General features: G+C 37.8%; 1 long non-coding RNA gene across 1 annotated transcript in view; it reads left to right on the top strand.

Annotated features, from left to right (window-relative positions):
* Window positions 1-245: 245 nt before the first annotated feature.
* LOC105379013 (uncharacterized) overlaps window positions 246-23412 on the top strand; it is a 406546-nt gene continuing 383379 nt past the window's right edge. The window contains exons 1-2 of the long non-coding RNA XR_007058804.1: window positions 246-563; window positions 4274-4395. This is a non-coding gene — a long non-coding RNA (uncharacterized LOC105379013). The remainder of the gene's footprint in view (window positions 564-4273; window positions 4396-23412) is intronic.

The raw sequence follows: 23412 nt of genomic DNA, 5'->3' as shown, positions 1-23412 counted from the left end.
GATAATACAGAGAAGAGGACAGAAGGAAAGAAAGAAAATGTTTAAAAATAAATTAATTGCAGCCACATAACAGATCCTTTAGCAAAATTAGAAGCAGCCTGAACCAACACAACACACAACTCTAAATTAATAGACTATGTTCAACTTAATGGCTATGCAAGCCAAGGAAGCAATACAATGGTGAGTCACTTAAAATGAGGCATTATTTTTTCTGGAACAAAGAAAAGAAAAGAGAACAAAAGGGTTGAAAGACTAAAATGAAGATAAAAACTTTAGATATGTGCATCCAAAATCCTGAGGAGGCTAGAAGCATTCCAAAGCAAGACAGAGTGAACAGTGAGAGGTGAGAAGAATGCACTTAAAGAAATGTTTTTGTGATTGTTTGTCTTATTTTAGGCTTTACAACGAATGTAAAAGACAAGTCTCAGGAAAAGATGTAATTTTATGGAAGAAAAAAGATAGAAAATAACATTACCCAAATGAAAACAGATGAAGATAAAGATCATTTCTTGAACAATATCTTCACATCATGGCTGGGCAAAGTGGAAAGAGACAGAAAACTGGTAATTATTGCCAGCAGACTTAAAATATGTATTTAGGCAGTAAATTTTTTATTATTTTATTTCTTTATTTTTAATTTTGCAAGTATCTCATGAATACATTTTTTAAAAATAACAATTGAAATGATGCAGTCAAAGAAAAAGTTCCTCCTTTGGCCCCACCAAATCCCACTTTCTTGTCCAAAGAGTTTATCAAAAAACATACAAGAAATAACAAATCTGGAAGGTCATAATTTTCTCAATAAGAAAAATATATGCTAGCTCTGCCTTGCTACTCTTATTATGCTCACTTTTGATTATCAGGCAACTTTGAGTATAAAATTTCTGGTATTGCTATTTCTCTTTTGAATTTTGTGATGCTAAAATGTTCTTGAAATTAAAATGTTCCACCCCTTCCCACTCTTCAGATCCCCATCTGTTCTCTTGTGAGCACAAGACCCACACAGCTGGTCTCAGACATGGTCACATCCACACTGATATAAGAATATGTTCGAGTAAGCAATCTGTGGTTTGGTGATTTAATTAATTCTACAAGACACCTAAAAAGTGCCAGGTGGAAGGACACAGATAAATAAGACAGTATCCAGCCTTTAAGGAAATCCTGGCATAACACTAAAGAAAACTCAATATTTTTATCCAGCAGAAGCTGGAACTGAAGTGACTAGTGCCTAGGCTTTGGAGTCATGCAGATCTGGGTTTGAATCCAGCCCTGCCACCTATCATTTCCATGACCTTTAGAAGGTGATGATATTGACACTTCATAAGATTTTGTCATGCTTTGCCTTTTCACACCGCTCCATGCCACCTCACACTTTATGGCTACAGATTCTATCCCTCTGGCCACAGAAGTGGGCCCAAGATAGGTCAGTTAGTGTTTATTACCTCTGGTCACGGTGATTGGTTCAGAGATGGACACAGTATCTAATCTGGGCCAATCAGATTCCTTCTCTGAGATTTTATCTTTTTCTATCTGGAGCTAGAAGGGAAGAACTTTTTTTCTTTTGGATGATGAGGCTATAAGCAAGTAATTTCAAGGGTGCCTGCAGCCATTGTTTCAGTGTCATGTGAACAGAGAATAAAGCAATTGAAAAATATTATTTTATTGTGTATTATTTGAAATAATAAAATCAATATATATACACATGTCTGTGTATAAACACAATAACCCCATTCCTTGACCTCTCTTGAGAGGTCATTGCTATCCTGAATTTTGTGTTTATCATTTCTTATCACAAGTATAGATACACCTAAACAAATTTATTTTTGAGCAGTTTTTTGAACTTTATAAATAATATACTCTATATTGTCTGCTTCATTCCACTACATGGACAAAAAAATTAAGAATTCTGACTATCTCAAGTTGTTGGTGAAGTCTGAAGTAATGGGAACTCATATCTCCTATAGAAATGTAAATTAAGACAACCACTCTGGATAAATAATCTGGCATTATCTTGCAAAGCTGAATATGAAGGTAGCCTAAGATTTTGCAATTCCATGTCTAGGTATATGCTCTGGAAAAACATTTGCTCACGTACTCTGCAGACATTTATAATGACTTGCAGAGTCTCTCCTGATGAGGAAGAAAAATACAGAAAGTAAGCCAAATGTTATTGATGGGAGGATGGGTGACTGCCTTGTGCATTCACACGGCAGAGTAGTATGCAGGAGTGGATGTGGAGGAGCCACAGGTACACTCAACAGTGGGAACAGATCTTAGAGGTAATATTGAGGAAGAATAAACTATTTTCAGGAACAGTTGGACTCTGTGGAGAGTTTTATATGCTGTCCTCTTGGACCTTAGATCAATAACTGGCCCTGACAGCAGCCCACTTTTAGGCCATCGTACAAGCAGGGAGCAGAAGCGGAGCTGGGCAGTAGTAGTCACTGTTCCAGAACCACCATATTAGTCACCCTAGGGAAGGGAGAGCAGTGCAGAGTGAAAATATTCATCTTGGTGATGAGGTTGAGAGCCACCCTTTGCCTGAACATCTGGACTCCTGAACTGAGTTGGCTCAGAGGGCTAGGGAGTAGACAGTGAGGAGTTTTTCTTTTGCTTCAGGATGGGAAACCTATGACCAGCTCTTTCCAGTTGTTATCTGGGTAGTCTATATGGTCTGACCCAAAAGGCTTTTAATTACTGATTTACTGTCATTGATATCATCTTTGAGTTGAGTTGATGAGTTCCTGATAGCTTCTGGAAGGACCCCTCCCTGCTGGGTCCTTTTGGGGGTCTATGCAGTAGTAAGCTGGTCATTTTGGGCTTCTCCTTGGAAAATGGTTTAAACAACCTCTCCTTTTGTGATCTTAGGTACAGCACAAAGGCAAGTTTAAAATTTATTTTCAACATATAACATTTCATCAAGTATCACATTGTGGAAGGGGGTGAAGAGAAGTTGGTTAAGGAGTACAAAAATAAGGTTAAATGGAAGGAGTAAGTTCTAGTATTTGGGAAGAATTGTCATGCTCTCAATACAAAGCAAAAATAAATGTTTGTGGTGATGGATATCCCAGTTACCCTGACTTGATCATTATACATTGTATCAAAATGTGATATGTGTCCCAAAATATGTACAACTATTGTATATCAATTAAAAAAAACACAGTTAGTTGATCAAGACAAAACAGCTAGAGATGAAAAGAAATTGGAGAATGATGGGTTATCTGCACGTTTGATGGGGAGAAAAATTGGGAGACCTGTAAAATATAATTAAATGGGAAATGTAAAAAGAAATTGTTTTACATTTTAACATCTCTAAAAATAAGGATATATCTTACAACTGACAGCTTCTTAACCATTATGAAAGGTGGCATTTTTTTTCTTTCTTGATGGTACCTAAAATAGAGAGGTATCCCACAATCAGTGGTGTCTTAGACTTGATTAAATAGGGTATATTTACCTAATACAAATAACCTTCTTTTGTTCTTTTGCTAGTAATCATTTTTATACATAATAATCTGCACATATAAAGAATATCCACTCAACATTCATAAATTAGAGGTCGAGTCATTTCTATGGTTTTGTAGTGGCTGGTGGAGGAAGGGAGGGAGTGTCTTCACAATGTCTCCACTGTACTGTCCAGCAACAAGGAAGAGGCACTGCCGGAAGACAGCAAGGGAGCGAAAGGGAGAAACAGAGAGAGAGAAGACAGTGCTTCCTTGATTTCCTGATTATACATTTTGCCCAGGGTTCCTTGAGTTTTAATAATAAAATCCCTTTTGCTTGTTTCCAGAAAGTTTCTATTTCTTACAATCAAAGGATCCCCTATTTCAAACACTTAGCACCCTACCCAGTATTTAGTGAGTTCTCTTCATGTGCTTGTTGTTTTCTTATTGTGCTAAGGGATTTATTGAGATTCATCGAAAGTCCTTGGAGAATAGAAAGGAAAGTAGGAAGAAGGTAATGATGTAGTCCCCAGCTGGTGCAATTGTGGAGGATCTTAAAAATGGGTGATATTTGGACAGGTAGAAGTGGAAGCCAGAGAATCCATACAGAAGGAAAGGCCAGCAAAAGCAAATGGGAGGGCTTCATTGGGGAGGGAGGAATTTGGGAGCTGGGATAAGGTGCATTTTGGAAAAGATGCTGGGCTTGGCTTAGAGGGGCTTCATATTCCACATGATGTGATTTTCCTCTATTCAGAAAGGTTTTCGGCGGAAGCAATAGGGACCAAGAGACAGCTTTCTTTTTTCTTTTCTTTTTTTTTTTTTTTAACCAGAAAAGTGACAACTTAAAAACTTTCTTTAAACATATCACTCTGACACCAATGTGTAAGATGAAGTGGACAGGAATGGAACTGTACTGGGAGGCTCTGACAGTTCGGGTGAGAAGAAATGAAGGGTAAGTGTGATGTCAATATTCCCTTTCCGTGTGACAATAAATGGTGGACGCAAAAGAGTGAACATATAAATGGTCTGTGTGAGCAGCCTCATAATGATAATCAAAATGGCTCGCTGCTGCGTAGCTGACCTCCTCCATACAGGTGCGCTGTTATATTGACTTGATGAGCAGACGGATCGTGGCCTCTACTCCTTCCCTCGGCTCTCCATGTTTGCCCACTACCTGGTCTTACTCTTTTCCCTTCCCATTCCCAGTCTCTTTTATCCAAATTTAAACAGCAGATTTTCCACTTCTTCCTAGTGATGCTGCACATTTAATCAGACCATTTCAGACATTCTGTGAGTACACGGCCACACAGGGTAATTTGGGAAGAGCCTAAAACTAACAATTTACACAGGCTGAGTTGGGACCTTTTTTCCTTTACTGTGGCATTTTGACAGCAAGAAAAATGACATGAGGATAGCACTTATTGATTCACAAAAGGCCTTCCTTGGGAATGTGGATGTAAATTCATCTGTGCAGTCTAGACAAATCTAAGTCTATTTGGGAGGTAAAAAGCTATAGTATTATAGATGTTGTCATTGAAATTGACCTAAGAGAGATTCTGCTTTCCCAGTGGACAGTGCAGAAGTAATCCATAGACATATTTGACTCAATGAATATTGTTATAAATAGTATTGAAGATGGTATTTTACATTTGGGAGAATAACTCTTACACAGTGGAAGTTAGGGAAAAGTAAATTGGGAATGTACTGCACAGTTCTGGCCATGTGGTCATTTTAATGATGTAGTAAAAATAGAGATGGAGCAAATGAGTGCTTCTTTATGAGGATGGGCTGACTACTTAATGCTCTCAATCTGGAAGGATGAAGGTGGAGTAGGATGGGATAAAAATTTACAGTGTCATGAAGGAAATGAATCAGGTGAGAATATTTTCCTCGTAAAAAACAACTCAGAAAAATAAGAGCAAAGAATACATACTGAAGGTAGTTTTAAGACCAAAGAAAAAGTGTGGCTTTATATATTATTCTAAGAGATAGGTCCAAATATGGTAGAATTTAAGAAGGGCTTAGATAAACTCAAGGGTGTAGGACTCGTAGTGGGCCTGTGTAAGAAATAGGCCATACTTTTTGTTTTAAATCAGAATAATAACATATATTAATTGTAGAAAAATTAGAAAAATTATATAAGCAAAATTTTAAATAGTTTAAAAACCTGTAATTTCTTAAAAATAACTTTTGATATTTTGATGTATATCTTCAAGACTTTATTTTTTTTGTTTATGTATTTAATTTATCCAAATGGGCTCAAACTAAAATAAGCAAAGTTGCAATTTGCTTTTTCAACTTGATATTTCGTGATATTCTTTCCATGTCCCTAAATTTAGAGCTACACAAACATTTCAAATGACTGCTATGTGTTGCTTTGTATCGATGTGCTATAATTTCCTTGACCAATTCCATACTGCTAAAATAATTCTGGGTTTTTCTATATGTTTATCTTCTATGCTTATAATACTTTTCTCATCTTAAAAATGTCCCATTGGATCTTAAATGTAATTACATTAAGTTTACAGATTAATTTGGAGGAAATCTTTACAATATGCAGTGATTTTATCTAGAAACAGTATATCTTTTCATTTTTCAAGTCTTTATATGTCTCATTAAAATTTTCTTATTTTATGAATATTTGTTCTGCATATTTCTTATTAACTTGATTATTAGGTCCACAGCATTATTATTATTACTTTTTACTCCTATTGTGAATGGTTTTCTCCCATTATTCTAGCTACTTATTTAGGGCATATAAGAAAATTATTGCTTTTAAAATATTTTATTTTTTTAAGTGGACACCCTGACAAACTTTCTTACTGATTCTAGCTTTTTTTCAGTTGTTTCTCTTAGGTTTTCCAGTTTAACCAATCAAATAATCAAGAAATAATGATAATTTCCTCTTCTTTTTCAATATTGATACTCTTATTTTGTTTCTGGGTACATTTTAATTGTCACACATTTCTAGAGTGGTGCTAAATATTAGGTGTATGCCTGTCTTGTTTCTCATTCTAATGGGGATGACTTTATTATTATATCTTTAGTTTATTATATTAGTAATTGCCAGGCATGGTGGCTCACACCTGTAATCCCAGTGCTTTGGGAGGCAGAGGCGGGCAGATCCCTTGAAGTCTGGGGGTTAGAGACCAGCCTGGGCAACATGGCAAAACCTCATCTCTACTAAAAATACAAAAATTAGCTGGTGTGGTGGTGCACGCCTGTAATCCCAGCTACTTGGGAGGCTGAGGCACAAGAAATACCTCAACCTGGCAGGTGGAGGTTGCAATGAGCTGAGATAGTGCCACTGCACTCCACTCCAGTCTACTCCCTCAACAGAGTGAGACTCTGTCCCCACCCCTGCCAAAAAAAAGGGTTGGAAACTTCTTAAGTCAATTTTGTTATTTTATTTTTTTCTAGTAAAAAAAGTCAATTTAAAAAAGATTTCAAATTAAATAACTTAGAGTTCTATATAATAATCAGCTTTTTACATCTTAATTTTTAATGCTTAATTGTTACCATTTATTGCTTAATAAGAATATTTATGTTATAGATTTTCTACTGAGTGTATCTTTGGCCAAACATCACATAAACCATGGAAAATATGATGTGATGCTAATAGTATTTTCTTTAGAATTTGTACTATTTTGCTGACCAAAGAGTTTAGAAGGGTACTTTTTAATTTCTAAGTATCTTGATTTTTTTTGTCTATTATTTTGTTTTTAATTTCTGGTATTATAATTGTATTATTCAATTTAAAAAATACTCTTATTTACTTTTGACTATTTGATCTTCCAATGGAATGTGAAATCTTCTACTATGGTAATAATTCTGTTAATTTTCTCTTGCATTTTTAATAGTTTTAAAAATATTTCAGTGCTATACTTAGCTTTTACATATTCATTGTAGATTTTACTTTTTTGTGTTTGACAAATTTGTCTAATTTAATCATTTTTCTTGGCTTCAATGCTGTTTTGTTCATTAATATTATTCTTGTTTTGTTTGCATTTCCCTGGCATATCCTTGCTCATCTCTCTTTTTTTTTTAACTGTTTCATATCATTTTGCTTCAAATGTGTGCCTTGTAAACAGTATATAGTTGAATTTTATTTGTTGATCCAGTGTGTCTTTATCTTATATGAGTAGATTTTATCCCATTCACACGTATTGGTCTTATTTCTGTCATTTTATTTTATATATTTTTTCAACTTTTTTCTCTCCTGCTCTCTTTTTCTTTTCCCCAACATTGTTCTACCGAACCCTGGTCTTTTTCCTGCCCCCCTCCTGTATATTGTCTGAAAGTTACTTATTTCTAGTCTCCCAGCAGTTATTCTTAATTATTTAAAGAGTATAAACTCATATTTGTCTATCAGGAATGAAATGAGATTCCCCATGTAAAATGAATGATGTAGCACATCTTCATTCCTTCTTCCTTCTTGCTTTCACCCCACCAACCCTTTAGATCCAAATTCAAATAAATCTTGTTAATCCTTTATTCTCTTTAATTTCTCCACAGCATTTGACTATGTTGAACCCTTTAGATCCAGATTATTTTTATTAACTTCTTTTCTACATTAACAAATATTTCTAAAATAATTATTTTTAGCATTTGTATTAAGTTTCAAAATCTTTTGCAAGTTGGTTATGTCGACATTAATGGTAAATTAATAGAAATTGGTTTCATTGTCCACTGTCACAATTCTTATATTGGAGCATACTTATATTTGAGTTCTGTTTATGATTTATTTCCTAGCATGCTGAAATATTCTTCCAAATAAATTTGTCAAAAGACTATGTGATTAATTTCCTTTCTGAGTTCTTGTATGTTTGATTAGCTGCTTATATAATTGTGGACTTCAATGTTTAACTTATCCTCAAAATTCTATATACATTGCTTCATTATCTTTCATATTTAACATATATGTAAAAGAATAATGGAAAACTGATTTTTTTTGTTACCTGTTCTCATTTGATCCAGGTCTTCATATTTGCGGTATTTCCCTCCCCAAACTTGCAGACTCCCTGAGTTTGTTTATTTATTTGGGGAGAGAGAGTGATAGTTTTCATGATACATCATGCCTAAGTATTGCCAGAGTAGCTTTCCTTTGGCATGGATTGGGTCACAGGAACGTCAGTACTTCCTTTAATTTTTTATCCAAATTTTAATTATGAAAAATTTCAAGTATACAGAAAAGAGAATGAGTAGTATATTAAACATCCATATACTCAAGTTTCAAAAATCAACATTTTGCTCTACTTGGCTTATCTCTCTCTACATACATCTTCTTTCACCCTGAACTATTTGAGAGTATGTTGATATCATGACACTTCACTCCTAAATACTTCAGCATGTATTTCCTAGCATAAGACTAACACTATTATCCTCTCAGAATATTAACCGTAATTCTATATTGGTATTTAAATCCAGTTCACCTAAGCTATATCTTGAAAAACTTCATTTCTGTTTTTGGACTATTTGTATAACTTTCCTGTTTTCATGGGCTGATGTGAATGTTTTCTCCCCGATTTTAATATTTTGGTCATTTCAGAGGGAATATGGGAGGGAAGGCAATTTAATGCATAAGTTCAAATTGGCATCTTACAATGAATTTTCTTATATTATAGTCCCTCTTTAAAGTAGGAATATCCTAGAACATGCCCATAGTTCATTATCATAAGCAGAGCATTAGGCAGAATGATCCATACATCTGCTTTTTGTGGCATTTAAAAATTGTGTTTTGGACTAAAAATAAATATGATCTTGTACTCATAGAAATGTGTAGACTGTCCCTTCCAAATGAGGCCCTTCATCAAGATGTGCCAGCCCACAAAGGGGAGAAGGAAGATGAATCCTAAATAACTGACTCACATAACTGCCTAATGATCAGCAAGTCTAATAGGAAGACAATGAGAACCACGTGGATTGTAGGATAATTCCTGGTTAATTTTCAATAACAAGCTTCCAGTGTGAATCTTTGTGGCATTGTGTTTGTGCCTAGCGCAAGGTTTAGAAAATCCTCTGGGGAAGGATGATGAGATCATGTAGAACGTTAGGAAAAGACATCTAAGTTATTTGCCATTGGCACCATCTCACTCTTAGCATGTTTCCCAATCCTGGGACATTTTCTAATAGAGGAATGGCAGAGGAGAAGCTAGAACTCTGAGCGAGTGAGACTGGAAGCAAAATGGATATGTGAATCACTCATCTCAAAGACTTTGAAGTTTGTGTTGCAAGGAGAGGTTACAGAATCCTACCCTAGTAAAGCATTTCACTGCATACAAAGTAAATTTTACTTACAAAGAAGCTATGGGTAGGCCACGCAAAATGAGACCGAGAAGTAATTGGAAAGGCGGCAGAGGAAAGTTGAGAGAGTTTGAGTAAGTCCTGAAAGCCCAAAGGCTAAGAATACCAAGAAAATTTAAAAACACAGGGAAGATTCAAAAACACATGTAGCTGCAGGGAGGGTTGGCCAAAGAACAGAAACAGAGAAAACCATAGGAAATGGAAAAGAGGGGAAATGGAAAAGGATGAAGATGTTACCCTTACAGGAATGCAGATGCACATGGGAAGATGCCAAAAAGCCAGGCAAATAAATGCTCTGGATGGAATTTAGGGTATGTAGCCGATTGGAATTAAAGCAAACCCCACCACTACACTAGTCATAGAGGATGGGGAGATGACCAAAAACCAGGGGGAGAACAATGTGGGTTTAAACAGAAGGTAATATATGGTATTCAGAGGCACTTGAGCATACAACATAGCAGTTAGACACACCATCTAAAGAATGCAAGTGCAAAGGGCAAAATACAGAAAAGAATGTCTGGCCACACTATATATAAATCTGTAAGTCTGAGATAAATGTCTCTTTGTCTACTCTAGTTACTATTTGCTCCTTTGTTGACATGTAAAACATGTCCACAAAGTGGTTGGGGGTGTATTTTAGTGAAATGAAGCTCATGGCAGAAAACAGAAGACTGAGAGGATTTTATGAGATTGGGATAGTTACTTCATAATATCACAACGGATTTGTTTCTTTCATCGTTGTTCCTGTGTGTTCTGCAGAATAAATATCGAGGTTTAATGTCTTTGCACTCTGAGCACCTCTGAATTTTGAACTTAATTGCAAATTGTTTAAGCCAGAGCATGTGTTGAGCTTTATTATTGCTTCCTGTGGCAGCCTTGGGATCACCTTTGAGGAACTCTGTCCTTCTAAGATTTAAGCTGACTGCCTGGTTCTAAGCCTTGTAATTTGGGGAAAGGATTTCGTCTGTAACTGCGTATTTGTGTTTTTGACCCAGTGGAGTTTGAATTTGCCTGTAAGGAATCATATTCATCCTTTGGCACCTGAAAGACAGGATGCCATCTTGAATGACCAGAAACAAGAATATCTCTTATCTTATCCTTTTGCCTCTAGTCCATCATCTTTTCTATATTGGAATGATCTTTTTAAGAAATACAATCAAACCCACTACTTAACATGGTAAGTGATGTCAGAACTAACTCAAAGAAAGAAAAATAATTTTAAATTAGGAACTCATAAGCTAACATACTGTTTTCGTGGCAACTTTTTGTCATCTGGGAAAAAACAAGTCTCTAGGAAGCAAAGAAGAGAAGAAAGAAAAGGTGGAAAGGAAAAGATGGAAGAATACCTTCTTAGTCACTTAAATATTTCATGGGCATAAACTCTATTCTAGATACTTTAACTTTTCAATGACATTTTGGGCCCCTCAATTAGAGTGAAGGTTTTCTGAGAAAAGGGGTTATGTCCTTGGAGCTTTCATAATAGCAACCACAAAGACAAATAGCCAAATTCAAAGAAATCTTATTAATCCTTTATTCTCTTTAACTTCTCCATAGCATTTGACTATGTTGAAAGGCTTTCTTCTTAGAGATCCTCTATTTTTGTCTTCTTCACTACTACCACGGCTTTAGTTGCCCGAGCTAAACTCTTGTTATCTAGTGTCTCTACTGCAGTTTTATCTCTCTACCCCTCCCATTTAATCATTCACATTGTCAACAAAGTTATTATTGATTAATTCACATCCCTGCTTACAAAACTGTGATAGCTCCCTATTTTCTATAGGAGAGGTTAAAAAATTCTTGGCTTTGAATCAACCACAAACCCAGTGGATGGAAGATGATCGATTCTCTCCCCCTCAACTGGGGCCAGTCTTATTTTTCCTTCCTGAAACCTGCTCTACAGCCACAGGAGACAACAGGGAGCTCTCCAAGTGCCCCCTATTACTAATTTGGGTCTTAGAAGGAGACTGTGGCTCTGAAGACCTGCACATCAATTATTGTAGAGAACAGATGAAAGATTGAAAACTGAAGGGCCTTTCTGAACAATTGTGGCCTCAGCTGTCTGGGCAAAGTGTTCTATCACTCTGAAAATAATACTGTTGCTTGTGTACAATGAGCACAGTGGAGAAATTCCATGGCTCAAGAACAAAGTGGAGCATACTGGCTTGTGTTCTGCATGTTTACTATGTTGTTTTTGCGGCGGGAGGGGGTGGTTGTTGGATATGAGGAGGCAAAAGGGTGAAGGTGCAAGGGAAATGACAAATGCCTCCATTTGTCTAAATTTACTCTGAACCACTATAATCACAAGAATCAAGTTTCGTGGAGAACAGGTTCATGGGTGAAAGAAAGGCTTTTGAGAGACTATTTTTGGCTATTATTGTGGATGCTGTTACCCCTAGTGTGCCACTATATGTATCATAACCATAGTGACCATATGTTTTCCAGGTTCGCCTGTGTCAAGGTGATAAGTTGTAATATTTACTTGGGAAAATACTTAATATCTATTTGGGAAAATATTTACATGATCCCCATAGCTATAGACTGTGAAAAGAATGATTCTTAAATGAAGTTATTCAAGTGCATGGGGTACCTTATTAAGCAAACAATTAGGAAAAATTTAATATACTGAACAAAGTCAGTGCAAAGCACAGAGATATTAAATTAATGTTACCACCTCAGTTCTCTTCTTTTGAGCAGTTTGGTAAATGTTGTCTTCTTTTTAATAATCTTAGAGTGGAACAATTCTAGAGTTGAACTGATATAAGCATAAATCTTTGGGCTGGTTTTAGAATCTAGAATATGAAATTTTGAAATTTTGTGAACAAATTGCAGTAGAGAATGATCCATCAAGTTTGCATATGAACTTGAATTAAAAATCTGTGATACTTCCCACCATCACCATAAATATTTGGTCAGACCATCTTTTTTTTGAGTTGTACATAGCACTTACTCTTCAGATTCCTTATAAGACAAGCAGATGCCAAAATATAGAATGTATGACAGAGATTCTTAAATCAGGTAGGGTAGATGTTATAATTAGTATTGCCTCTCCACTTCCACCACCCCATAACGTAGCAGAAGAGCATCTTGCTATTATCTCACCTAGCCTTCTGTACATCCATTTCAAATATCTGCTCTTCTCCTAGCTCCATCAGAATGGAAACCAACCCTGCTGATTTTCCTCAAACATTGAACTTTTGATAACCAAGTATATCTTGTGAGACTCTTAAAGTGTGTTTTTTTCCTTCTTTCTTTTTTTTTTTTTTTTTTTTTCAGATTCTTGCTCTGCTGCCCAGGCTGGAGTGCAGTGGCATGATCATGGCTCACTGCAACCTTAAACTTCTGGGATCAAGCAATCCTCCTGCCTCAGCCTCTTGAGTAGATATGACTACAGGGGAGCAGTGTAATACCCAGCTACTTTTTTTTTTGCCTTCCTTGAGATAGGGTCTCACTATGTTGCCAAGGCTGGTCTTGAACTCCTGGTCCCAAGTGATCTTCCTAACTTGGCCTTCCAAAGCTTTGGGATTACAGGTGTGAGCCACCACACCTGGCCAGTGTGTCTATTTATAATTCTGCACACTCTTAGAACAAATGATGCCAAACTGCAGAATAACGGAGGCTTCCTTTTCCATTCGCCTGTGCAAATAGGTAACCAGGCAAAATGTTCCCTGTGAAGTGAGCATATCGTGGTGCTCATGATTTCCTTTTGAGCAGGACAGCAACCGTGTGATCCATGGCGGGATGTATCATTGAATCAGGGCTAGGATGCTCGTCTGTGTTCTCAGTATCACCTCTCTGCTCTTGAGGAGGTTGGGCTTCTACTTGCCTTCTCTGTGGTTAAACATTTTGCAAGCTCTCAATGTTATCTTCCAACCCCCGGACACTATTATCTCAGAATTTGCTGCTTTTGGGAGGGCTCTGGCAGTGGCAGAACAAATATATCCTTGGTCATGAAGTATCTCACCTGCTCTGATTTGTAAGAGAGGGTGCTTGATGTCTTTATCCACCCTCCTAGTTCCCCACTTCTCTATCTTGTTTTGAGCCCCAGGAGGCTGACCTGTATGGACTGCAGCAGTGAGGGCTCCCAGGCCCTCAGTTTCTGGCTGAGTTTGGCACCAGGAAGCACTGGCAGCAGATCGAAGGGAGGAAGGAGAATGAGGTCCAGGTATTTATTTCCTGGCTTCCTCCCTGCTTGATCGTGGTGTGCTGGCCATCTCCTGCAACTGAAGGTCTCAGCTCCTGTCACTCCATGTGGCTTTGTCTCTGGATTCCACTGCTTACGCCTAGGGTAGGAGCAGTGCCCTGCTATTCCTAGCTCTGAGATAATACACTGTGACTTATGGTCTTTCCTACATCCTGCCCATACCTTTGTAAATAGTCCCTTAATTAAACTCTCCTCAAATAACCCAATTTGAGAGTGCCATCTGTTTCCTGCTGGAACCCTAACTGATAGAAGTTGTCCTTGAATAAATGCTATTGGTGGAAGAGTACTGAAGGACTTCACCATGACCCCCAGAACCCAGCAGCAAGCAATGCCACAGATGTACCTATGTAAGTTGCACTGGATCTTGCAGATGGGAGGGATGCTCTTGCTGCGTGTGGTTTCTGTTGCTGTTTTCTGAGATACTGCCTGGATCACTTGCCCCCTGGCCTGGGAGCCATTGCACTATAGCTCTGGTTTTTATTTGGAGCCTAAGAGAGAGGAGGAAGCAAGTCCTCTTCATTAGTGCTGCTGGCACAGAAGGAGGCGTCTGAGTCAGCAACTGAGAACAGATGATTTTGAAGCATCGCCTTGTCTCTGGTGCCGCTTCTCTCTCCTCTGGCACTGGTGGCCCAAGTCCGTCCTGGCGTCAGGCGGCCACAAGGAGAGCTGCCCTGAAGCACTGGGCCTGCTGCCTCCCTCCCGCAGTCTTCTCTGGCATCCCTGTCCCCTTGCAAGGCAGAGCCTCATTAGCAAGTGAAATGTTATAGTTTCAAACAAACAAACAAGCCCTAAAGTCTGCCAAGTCGTCTGGGTGAAATCACAAAGAAATCTCAGTGTCCTGTGCCTCTTTTGGGCCCTCTCTCTGGGGATTCAGAAGCTGCAGCAGGACTGACTTCCTTCCTGCTTGCTAGTGGGTGACTGTCTCCAAAGCCGTGATATCTAACCACTGACCCTACCTGATAAACCTAGTGAGGTCCCAGAGAGCTGGGTTATCCTTTGTCCGCTGTTGATTCAGGTGAACTCGTCACTGTTTGGGATTTAAGCAATTCCCTTCCTTGCATCCTTTCCCAGTCACAGGTTTCTTGAGGGAACCCTTCCTCGCCATTTGCTTTTTGTTTTTGGTCAGCTCACTGGAAAAAAACAGGGACTGCTCCAGACTGAGGAAAGCAGTCAGGGACACTGTCTCTGCCCAAACTAGCAAAGCCAACTTTATCAAATTCAGGGAGTACAGGAGTTAGAAAGACACAACAGAGTTGTGTTCCCTGGCAAAGAAATAGTAAAGAGCAAAACAGTCAATTCAGAGGGCAAACTGCTTGCCTCACTAATAAAGCATGGCTCATGATGGAAAATAACTCAAGAAAGTAGGGAGCAAATGGATTTAGTTGCTATGGGAACGCAGTTGGGAAAAATACATGAAATATGTAAATACTGTAATTTGGTATTTTAATGTACTTTTCTATGAAGAAAATTCCCTGACAACGAAAACTAACAACTCTTTCCTCTGCTACACACAGCACTGATTGACAGAGGCTGGGCAAGTGGGTTTCCCAATTGAATTTTGCCCCTAGGACTGAAGACATCTTTATTCTCAAGCATAAAAATCAGACACCTGGAGCAGTGGTTCTCAACTCTGGATGCACATTAGACTTAGAGAACTTTCAGAACAAAATCAGACACACCCCAGACAGGTTAAATCAGATTTTCTGGGTAGGGCGGTGGGCTTTGGGATTTTTTGAAAAGTCCCCAGTCTTTTCTGATGGGCAGCCACTGTTGTGACCAGGGCCCAGAATCTTGATTTGGTAGGCTTGGTAACTATAGATTGCTTATTTTATCGTACGCCTTCACTAGGTTTTTATTTCACAGATTTTTGGTCATTTTGAGTGATTTGTACATTTTAATAGCAATAATGGGAAATGATTAGCAATCATTACTCTACCATTGTTAGTGTTATTATCTTCACCATAATAGACTAGTGCTTCTCCTATTTGTAGAAAACATGATAATATATTACAAAGTATTATCATTTAACCATAATAATGATTAATTGCTGTTATTTAAAAAATTATAAATTGATAATTTGGAAAGTTTAGATGTTGCTCTAAATGCTAATATCAATCTGTATTTTAATAATTACCATCATTACTTATCATTAGCTGTGTAATAAATCAGTAGTAAACATTTATGTAGATATAACTGTGAAACTTGCTTAGTAATAATCTGTACCAGAGTTGGTAAGTGGCATTTCTGTTTTCCTGATGGGAAAAATGTTACAAGAATCATGTGATTCGCATTAACTTATATGTTGAAATCATGGCATATCTGAGTGCAGACCTTCAAAATATCATCTTTTTTTTCCCTCTGCCTGGCTCCTGTTACTTTTGCTCTGTCCAATACGATAAATTACAATCCTTCTCCTATGGTATTACTCCAGGAACAAAACAACAAGTGCGGAGTTTACTGGTATCCAAAGAGAATTTGAATGAGTGGGGAAGAAGGATTCATGAAAATGGTCAATATTATAGAAAGTAAGAATGAATTGTGAAAATCCCACTTGGTTGTTTCACCTAAATTCAGGTGGTCAGGGTTTTTAGAGTCTATGGGGGATTCCGACCTATGGAAAGCTTGCTTGCTTCTGAAACATTCTCTCTCTTCTTACCTTTAACATTGTTGTTATTACGTGTAAACTTTGGAGACCAGCCCCTGCGTCCAGCCTGACTAAGTTCAGGTTATACCATTGATCCAGGCTGCTGGGTCCCCTGGAAATAGGCACAGCATGCCTTCTGTACCCAGTCCCCTGGTGGTCTTTGAGTTGTCTTCCCCCAACTCTCCCAACGAGGTTAGATTCTCTAGTTTCTGTTATCTGCTCCCACAGCACCATTTTTGCCTCCGCTGTAGGCCTTAGCCTAAGTAAGTAAGTCATAATTATTTATTTAATGTCATTCTCTCCCCAAAAGCTGATAGCTCCAGGAAGGCAGCAGATAGTAGTGTTCATTCTTATATCCAAATTATCTTGGCACAGTACCTGGTCAATATTAGATACTCAAATATTGCTGACGAATTTTTTTTCTCTGCTGTCCCTATTGTTTAAAGCTACCCTGTTTCAGATTCTTAACCATAATTTTTTATTATAGAAAATTTCAAATATACCTAAAAGTAGAAATTTTATAAAGAACCCCTATGAGTTTATCACCCAGCTATGTCCAATCTTGTTTTCAAATTTTTCTAATTAAAAAGATAAGTTTTGGACTTTCAATTTCAGCTCTGAAAATTCTTTAGATTGGAAGTCATCACTCCCATTCTTACAAAAAGAAAAAAACCTGAAAAAATGGAAAACCAGGGACTTTTCTCAGACCCATTAGAGAAATGAAGTTGCAGGACAAATCACCACCCTGAAATCTAGAGAGACAGGTGAATGCAAAGAGCCACAGCTGAAACCTGCTTACCTGGATTAGAAGCCACTGATAACTTCGGTAATTAAATGATAATTTTGATGAATTGCTAGAGGTAGACTGTGGGCTAGCCGAAAGTGAGGAACCTGTAGGGGCACAGTATTATGTTGTCTTAGGGGATGTATTAGTCAGGGTTCTATAGAGGGACAGAACTAATAGGAGAAAATACATACATATATATATATATAAAGGGGATTTTATTAAGTATTAACTCACATGATCACAAGGTCCCACAATAGGCCATCTGCAAGCTAAGGAGCAAGGAGAGCCAGTCTGAGTCCCAAAACTGAAGAACTTGGAGTCTGATGTTTGAGGGCAGGAAGCATCCAGCCCAAGAGAAAGACGTAGTCTGGGAGTCTAGGCCAGTCTCGTCTTTTCACATTTTTCTGCCTGCTTTATATTCTAGCTGCACTAGCAGCTGATAGTGGCCACCCAGATTAAGGCTGGGTCTGCCTTTCCCAGCCCACTGACTCAAATGTTAATCTCCTTTGGCAACATCTTCACAGATACAGCCAGGATCAATACTTTTCATCCTTCAATCTAATCAAGTTGATAGTATTAACCATCACAAGGGACACTCACACTTTTGTGGGTTTTACCTCCAGGAAGTCCAGCAGGTTCTCACGGTAAAGATCCAAGAAAGATCCTCTGTGGCCTTGGCAGGGGGAGGGGAAGAGTACTCATTGTGATATACACCAAGAGCGTTCTCCCTAACAAAGGCCCAATGTCAAGGGAAAATACCAGAACCTTATCTCACTAGTGAAAGGACATCCCTCTCACTCTAGCCTCTTCCAGCCTTCCTTTCTCGTCTAAGTAGGGGTGGTGAAGCTATGCCACTGGAGCTTGTGAAGGTCACAGCCCAAAGACACAGGCCAATTGAAAGACTGAGATTTAACAATATGCCCCTTCCCCCCATATTTTGCTACTACCCCAATAGGGCTCCAGTATAATAAGAATGGACTATAGCTGAAATAAATGCAAGATTCACGTACTCCTCTGAGAGTAATACTTAGGAAAGCCCCAAGTCTAGAGGGTAGGCAAAAACAAGGACACTGGAGAAATTGAAGCTTCTGGCTCCTACAATTGTACCAAGCATTAAACACAATCCAACTCCCAGCCATAGTAACATAAATCCTCACATTAAAAGCCTATTTACTCCAGTTTCTGCTACCTAATACAGCATGTCCAGCTTTAAGCAGAAAATTACAAAGCTTGCCAAAGGCAAGAATAAAATCGTCTGAAGAGATAGAGCAAGCATCAGGACCAGACTCAGATATGACAGAGATGTTAAGAGTTATCAGATACAGAATTTAAAAGAATAACCATGATTATAATTAAGGGCTCTAATGGAAAAAGTAGACGGCATGCATGTACATATGGATAATATAACAAGAGAAATAGACGTTCTAAGAATCAAAGGAAATGCTAGAAACTAAAAACACTGTAACAGAGATGAAGAATGGCTTCAATGGGCTCATCAGTGGACTTGACATAACCAAGGAAAGCATCGTTGAGTTTGAAGATAGCTCAATAGAAACTTTCCAAACTGAAGTGCAAAGTGAAAAAAGAAAGAAAAGAAAAACTCACACAAACCCCAGAACTGATTACTCAAAATCTGTAGGTAAAATTTCAGAAGGTGTAACGTGTATAATTGGAATACCAGGAAGAGAAGAAAAAGCAGAGGAGAAAAAAAATATTTGAAGTAATAATAGCCAAGAACTTTCCACAATTAATGACAGGCACCTAAGAACAGATCCAGGAAGCTCAGAAAATGCCAAGCAGGATAAATACTTGCTTTGCATATCATATTTAAACTGCAGAAAACAAAAGGCAAGAATAAAGTCTTGAAAGAAAACAGAGGGAAAAACACCTTACATAAAGAGGAACAAGGATAAGAATTGCAGTGGACTTCTCATCAGAAATAATGCAAGCAAGAAGAATGTGGAATGAAATATCTATCTCCAAGTGTTGAAAGAAAATAAAACCCCACAAACCTAGAATTCTACATACACTGAAATTATCCTTCAAAAGTGAAGAAGAAATAAAGTCATTACAAATAAAAACTGAGGAAATTTATGACTACTGGATCTTCTTTGCCAAAAATATTAAGTTCTTCAGGCAGAAAGCGATATAGGTCAGAACCCAGATCTATATAAAGAAATAAAGAGTGTTGGAAAAGAAATAAAGATAATATTTTTATTTTTTTAATTGATTTAAAATATCCACCTATTTAAAGTATTAGTAGTAACAATATATTGGATGATTATAGCATGGATAAGTAAAATGAATGACTGCAATGTCATAAGGGATAAAAGGGAGCAATTAGAAATCCTCTGTTATGAGGTACCTGTACTCCTACATACATAAAAACAATTTGAATTTAAAATTTAAAAATACCATTTACAAAAGCACAAAAATAAATACTAAGGCATAAATTGAACAAAATATACACAGGAACTGTATTCAGAAAACCATAAGACTGATTAAAAAAAAAGGATCTGAATGAGTGGAGAGATACTCTGTGTTCGTGGATTGGGAGATTCAGTATTGTTAAGACATCAGTTTTTCCCAACTTGATCTGTATACTCAAAGCAGACTCAATCAAAACTCCAGCAAGCTATTTTGTATACATTGACAAACTGATTCTAGAATTTGTATGGAGTAGCTAACATGATACTAAAAGGTTGACACAGAGATCAATAAATTGGAGCCCTGAAATAGAACAACACAAATACAGTCAACAGATTTCTGACAAAGAAGCAAAGGCAATTTAGTGGAGAAAGGATAATCTTTTCAATAAACAGTGCTAGAACAACTGGATATCCAAATGCAAAAACCTGAACCTAGACACAGACCTTATACCTTTCACAACAATTAACTTGAAATGCATTATATACCTAATTTTAAAGTACAAAATGGTAAAACTTGTAGAAGAAAAATGGGAGAAAATCTAGATGACCTTGTGTTTGGTTATAAGTTTTTAGATACAACACCAAAACCACAATTAAAGAAAAAAATTGATGAATTGAACTGCTATGGTTTAAATGTCCCCTCCAAAACTTATATAGAAATGTATTTATTTATTTATTTTTGAGACAGAGTTTCGGTCTTGGCACCCAGGCTGGAGTGCAATGGCGCGATCTCAGCTCACTGCAACCTCTGCCTCTGGGTTCAAGCGATTCTCCTGCCTCAATCTCCTGAGTAGCTTGGACTACAGGCACGTGCCACCACGCCCAGCTAATTTTTGTATTTTTAGTAGAGGTGGGGTTTCACCATGTTGACCAGGCTTGTCTTGAACTCTTGCCCTCAGGTGATCCACTCGACTCGGCCTCCCGAAGTGCTGGGATTACAGGCATGAGCCACCGTGCCCGGTCTCATAAGAAATTTAATTGCTATTATAACAGCATTAAGATGTGGCACCTTTAAGAGGTGATTAGTCTGTGAGGACTCTGTACTGATGGGTGGGTTTAATGGCTTCAAAAAGGGGCTTTGGGAGTGTATTTTCTGTCTTGCACACATGCTTGTCCTTCTGTCTTTTGCCATGCTATGACTTAGTAAGAAGGTCCACACAGGATACAACCCCTTAAACTTGGACTTCTTAGCTCCCAGAACTGTGAGCCGAATAATACTTTATCCTTTATAAATTATCCAGCTTGTAATATTGTTATAGCAGCAGAAAATAGACTAAGACATGAACTTTTTATCAATAATTCTGCTCTGTGAAAGGGATACTATTAAGAGAAAGATAAGACAAGCCACAGACTGGCAGAAAACATACCTGATAAAACACATCTTGCAAAACACATATCAGATAAAGGATTTGTATCCAAAATATACAAAAAACTGTTAAAAACCAAAAATAAGAAACAACTCAACCAAAAAAATGGAAAACAGATCTGAACAGCCATCTCACCAAAAAAGATATACAGATGGCAAATAAGCATATGAAAAGATGGTAAACATTTGTCATGAGGGAATTGCAAATTAAAACAACAATGAGATAGCATTCCACATCTATCAGAATGGACAAAATCCAAAAAATGAACAATAGCAGTTGCTGGCAAGGATGCAGAGCAAGGGTTACTCTTATTCCACTTGATATAGCTACTGTGGAAAGATAAAGGATACAAAATGATACAGCTACTTTGGAAGATAGAATGATAATTTCTATTTTTTTTATGTATTTTTGAGACGGAGTCTCAATCTGTTGCCCAGGCTGGAGTGCAGTGGCGCAATCTCGGCTCACTGCAACCTTTGGCTCCCAGGTTCAAGCGATTCTGCTGCCTCAGCCTCCCAAGTAGCTGGGATTACAGGCACCTGCCATCATGCTTGGCTAATTTTTGTAATTTTTTAGAGATGAGGGTTTCACCATGTTGGCCAGGCTGGCCTTGAACTCCTCACTTCAGGTGATCCGCCCACCTCGGCCTCCCAAAGTGTTGGGATTACAGGCGTGAGCCACCACGCCTGGCTGAAATGATAATTTCTTACTAATCTAGTGATAGTCATGCCATAAGCATGATCCAATAAGCATGCATCTAGGTATTTACACAACTGATTTGAAAATTTATACTCACACAAAACCTACATGTGAATATTTATAACAGCTTTATTCATAATCACCCCGAACTGGAAATAATCAAGATGTCCTTCAATAGATGAATGGATAAGGAGACTGTGGTATATCCACACAGTATAATATTATTCAATGATAAAAAGAAATGGGCTATCAAGTCACGAAAAGCCATGCATGAATCTTAAATATATTGCCATGAAAGAAGCCAGTCTGAAAAGGCTACATACTGTATAATTCCTTTTATATGACATTCTGGAAGAGGCAAAACTATACAGATGGTGAAAGATCAGGGGTTGCTAGGGATTCATAGGTGGAGAGAAGATTGACTAGGTGAAGCACAAGGAATTTTTTTTTCCGAGTGATTGAATTATTCTGTAGGATACTGTAATCATGTAATGGTAAATACATGACATTATGCATTTGTCAAAACCCACAGTACTTTATAGTACAAGGAGTGAACCTCAATGTGTCCAAATGAAAACATCATTTAGAAACTCAGAGGATCCCCAGATGCAATGCAGAATGTGATAAAACTAGCTGCATTACAAAAGTATGAAACAACCTCAATGAATGAGATGGAGAAAAAAGGTGCTGACCTAAGTAATGCTAGAAATGAGTCTGTGGGAGTAAAGACAAATGGAAGTGTACATAAGCACTGTACTCTAGTTAAGAAAGGTGCTTCCTATGGGAGCATGGCTTAACAATTATGAAACCACATGTATACTGAAAAGGAATAATTTTTTTTTTTTTTGAGACAGGGTCTCACTGTGTCACCTAGGCTGGAGTGCAGTGGCATGGTCATGGCTCACTGCAGCCTCAACCTCCCAGGCTCAGGTAGTCCTTCCACCTCAGTGTCTCAAGTAGCTGGGATCACAGGCACGTTTCACCGTGCCCAGCTAATTTTTGTATTTTTTGTGGATACGGGGTTTCACCAAGTTTTCCAGGCTGGTCTCAAATTCTTGGGCTCAAGTGATCCTCCCATCTTGGCCTCCCAAAGTGCTGGGATTACAGGCATGAGCCGCCACACCCAGCTGACATGGAATAACTAAGTAAATGAATGATGGGTGGTGGGAGCCAGGTTTCTCCCTTCTGTAGAGGGACATTTTTGATCAGCAAGGGGAAGAGGCTAGAATGATCCTTTGTAGTTAGATTAGAGTTGAGGATATCAGTATGAACTCATGCTTAGCCTAATATAGACACAGATGAATACATGTATGAATACATGTATTTATGAATACATGAATACATTTTTTAGAAATGTTTATATACATGGGTTAGTATACACACATATATTACCTCACTCTGTTAGTTGAAGGGATCTGGAAACGACACCCCTGTAGCAACAAGCACACGTAGCACCCAGGTCTTGGTTTCTAACACCATCTTCTATTAAAAAAAATGAAAAATAGCTGATTCTAGGACTGGGGCAGGATATATGATCTT

Source organism: Homo sapiens, chromosome 5 (assembly GCF_000001405.40).
Source record: "Homo sapiens chromosome 5, GRCh38.p14 Primary Assembly".
NCBI lineage: Eukaryota > Metazoa > Chordata > Mammalia > Primates > Hominidae > Homo > Homo sapiens.
The sequence above is the reverse complement of the archived record's forward strand: the minus strand, read 5'-3'. Positions and strand labels throughout refer to the sequence as shown.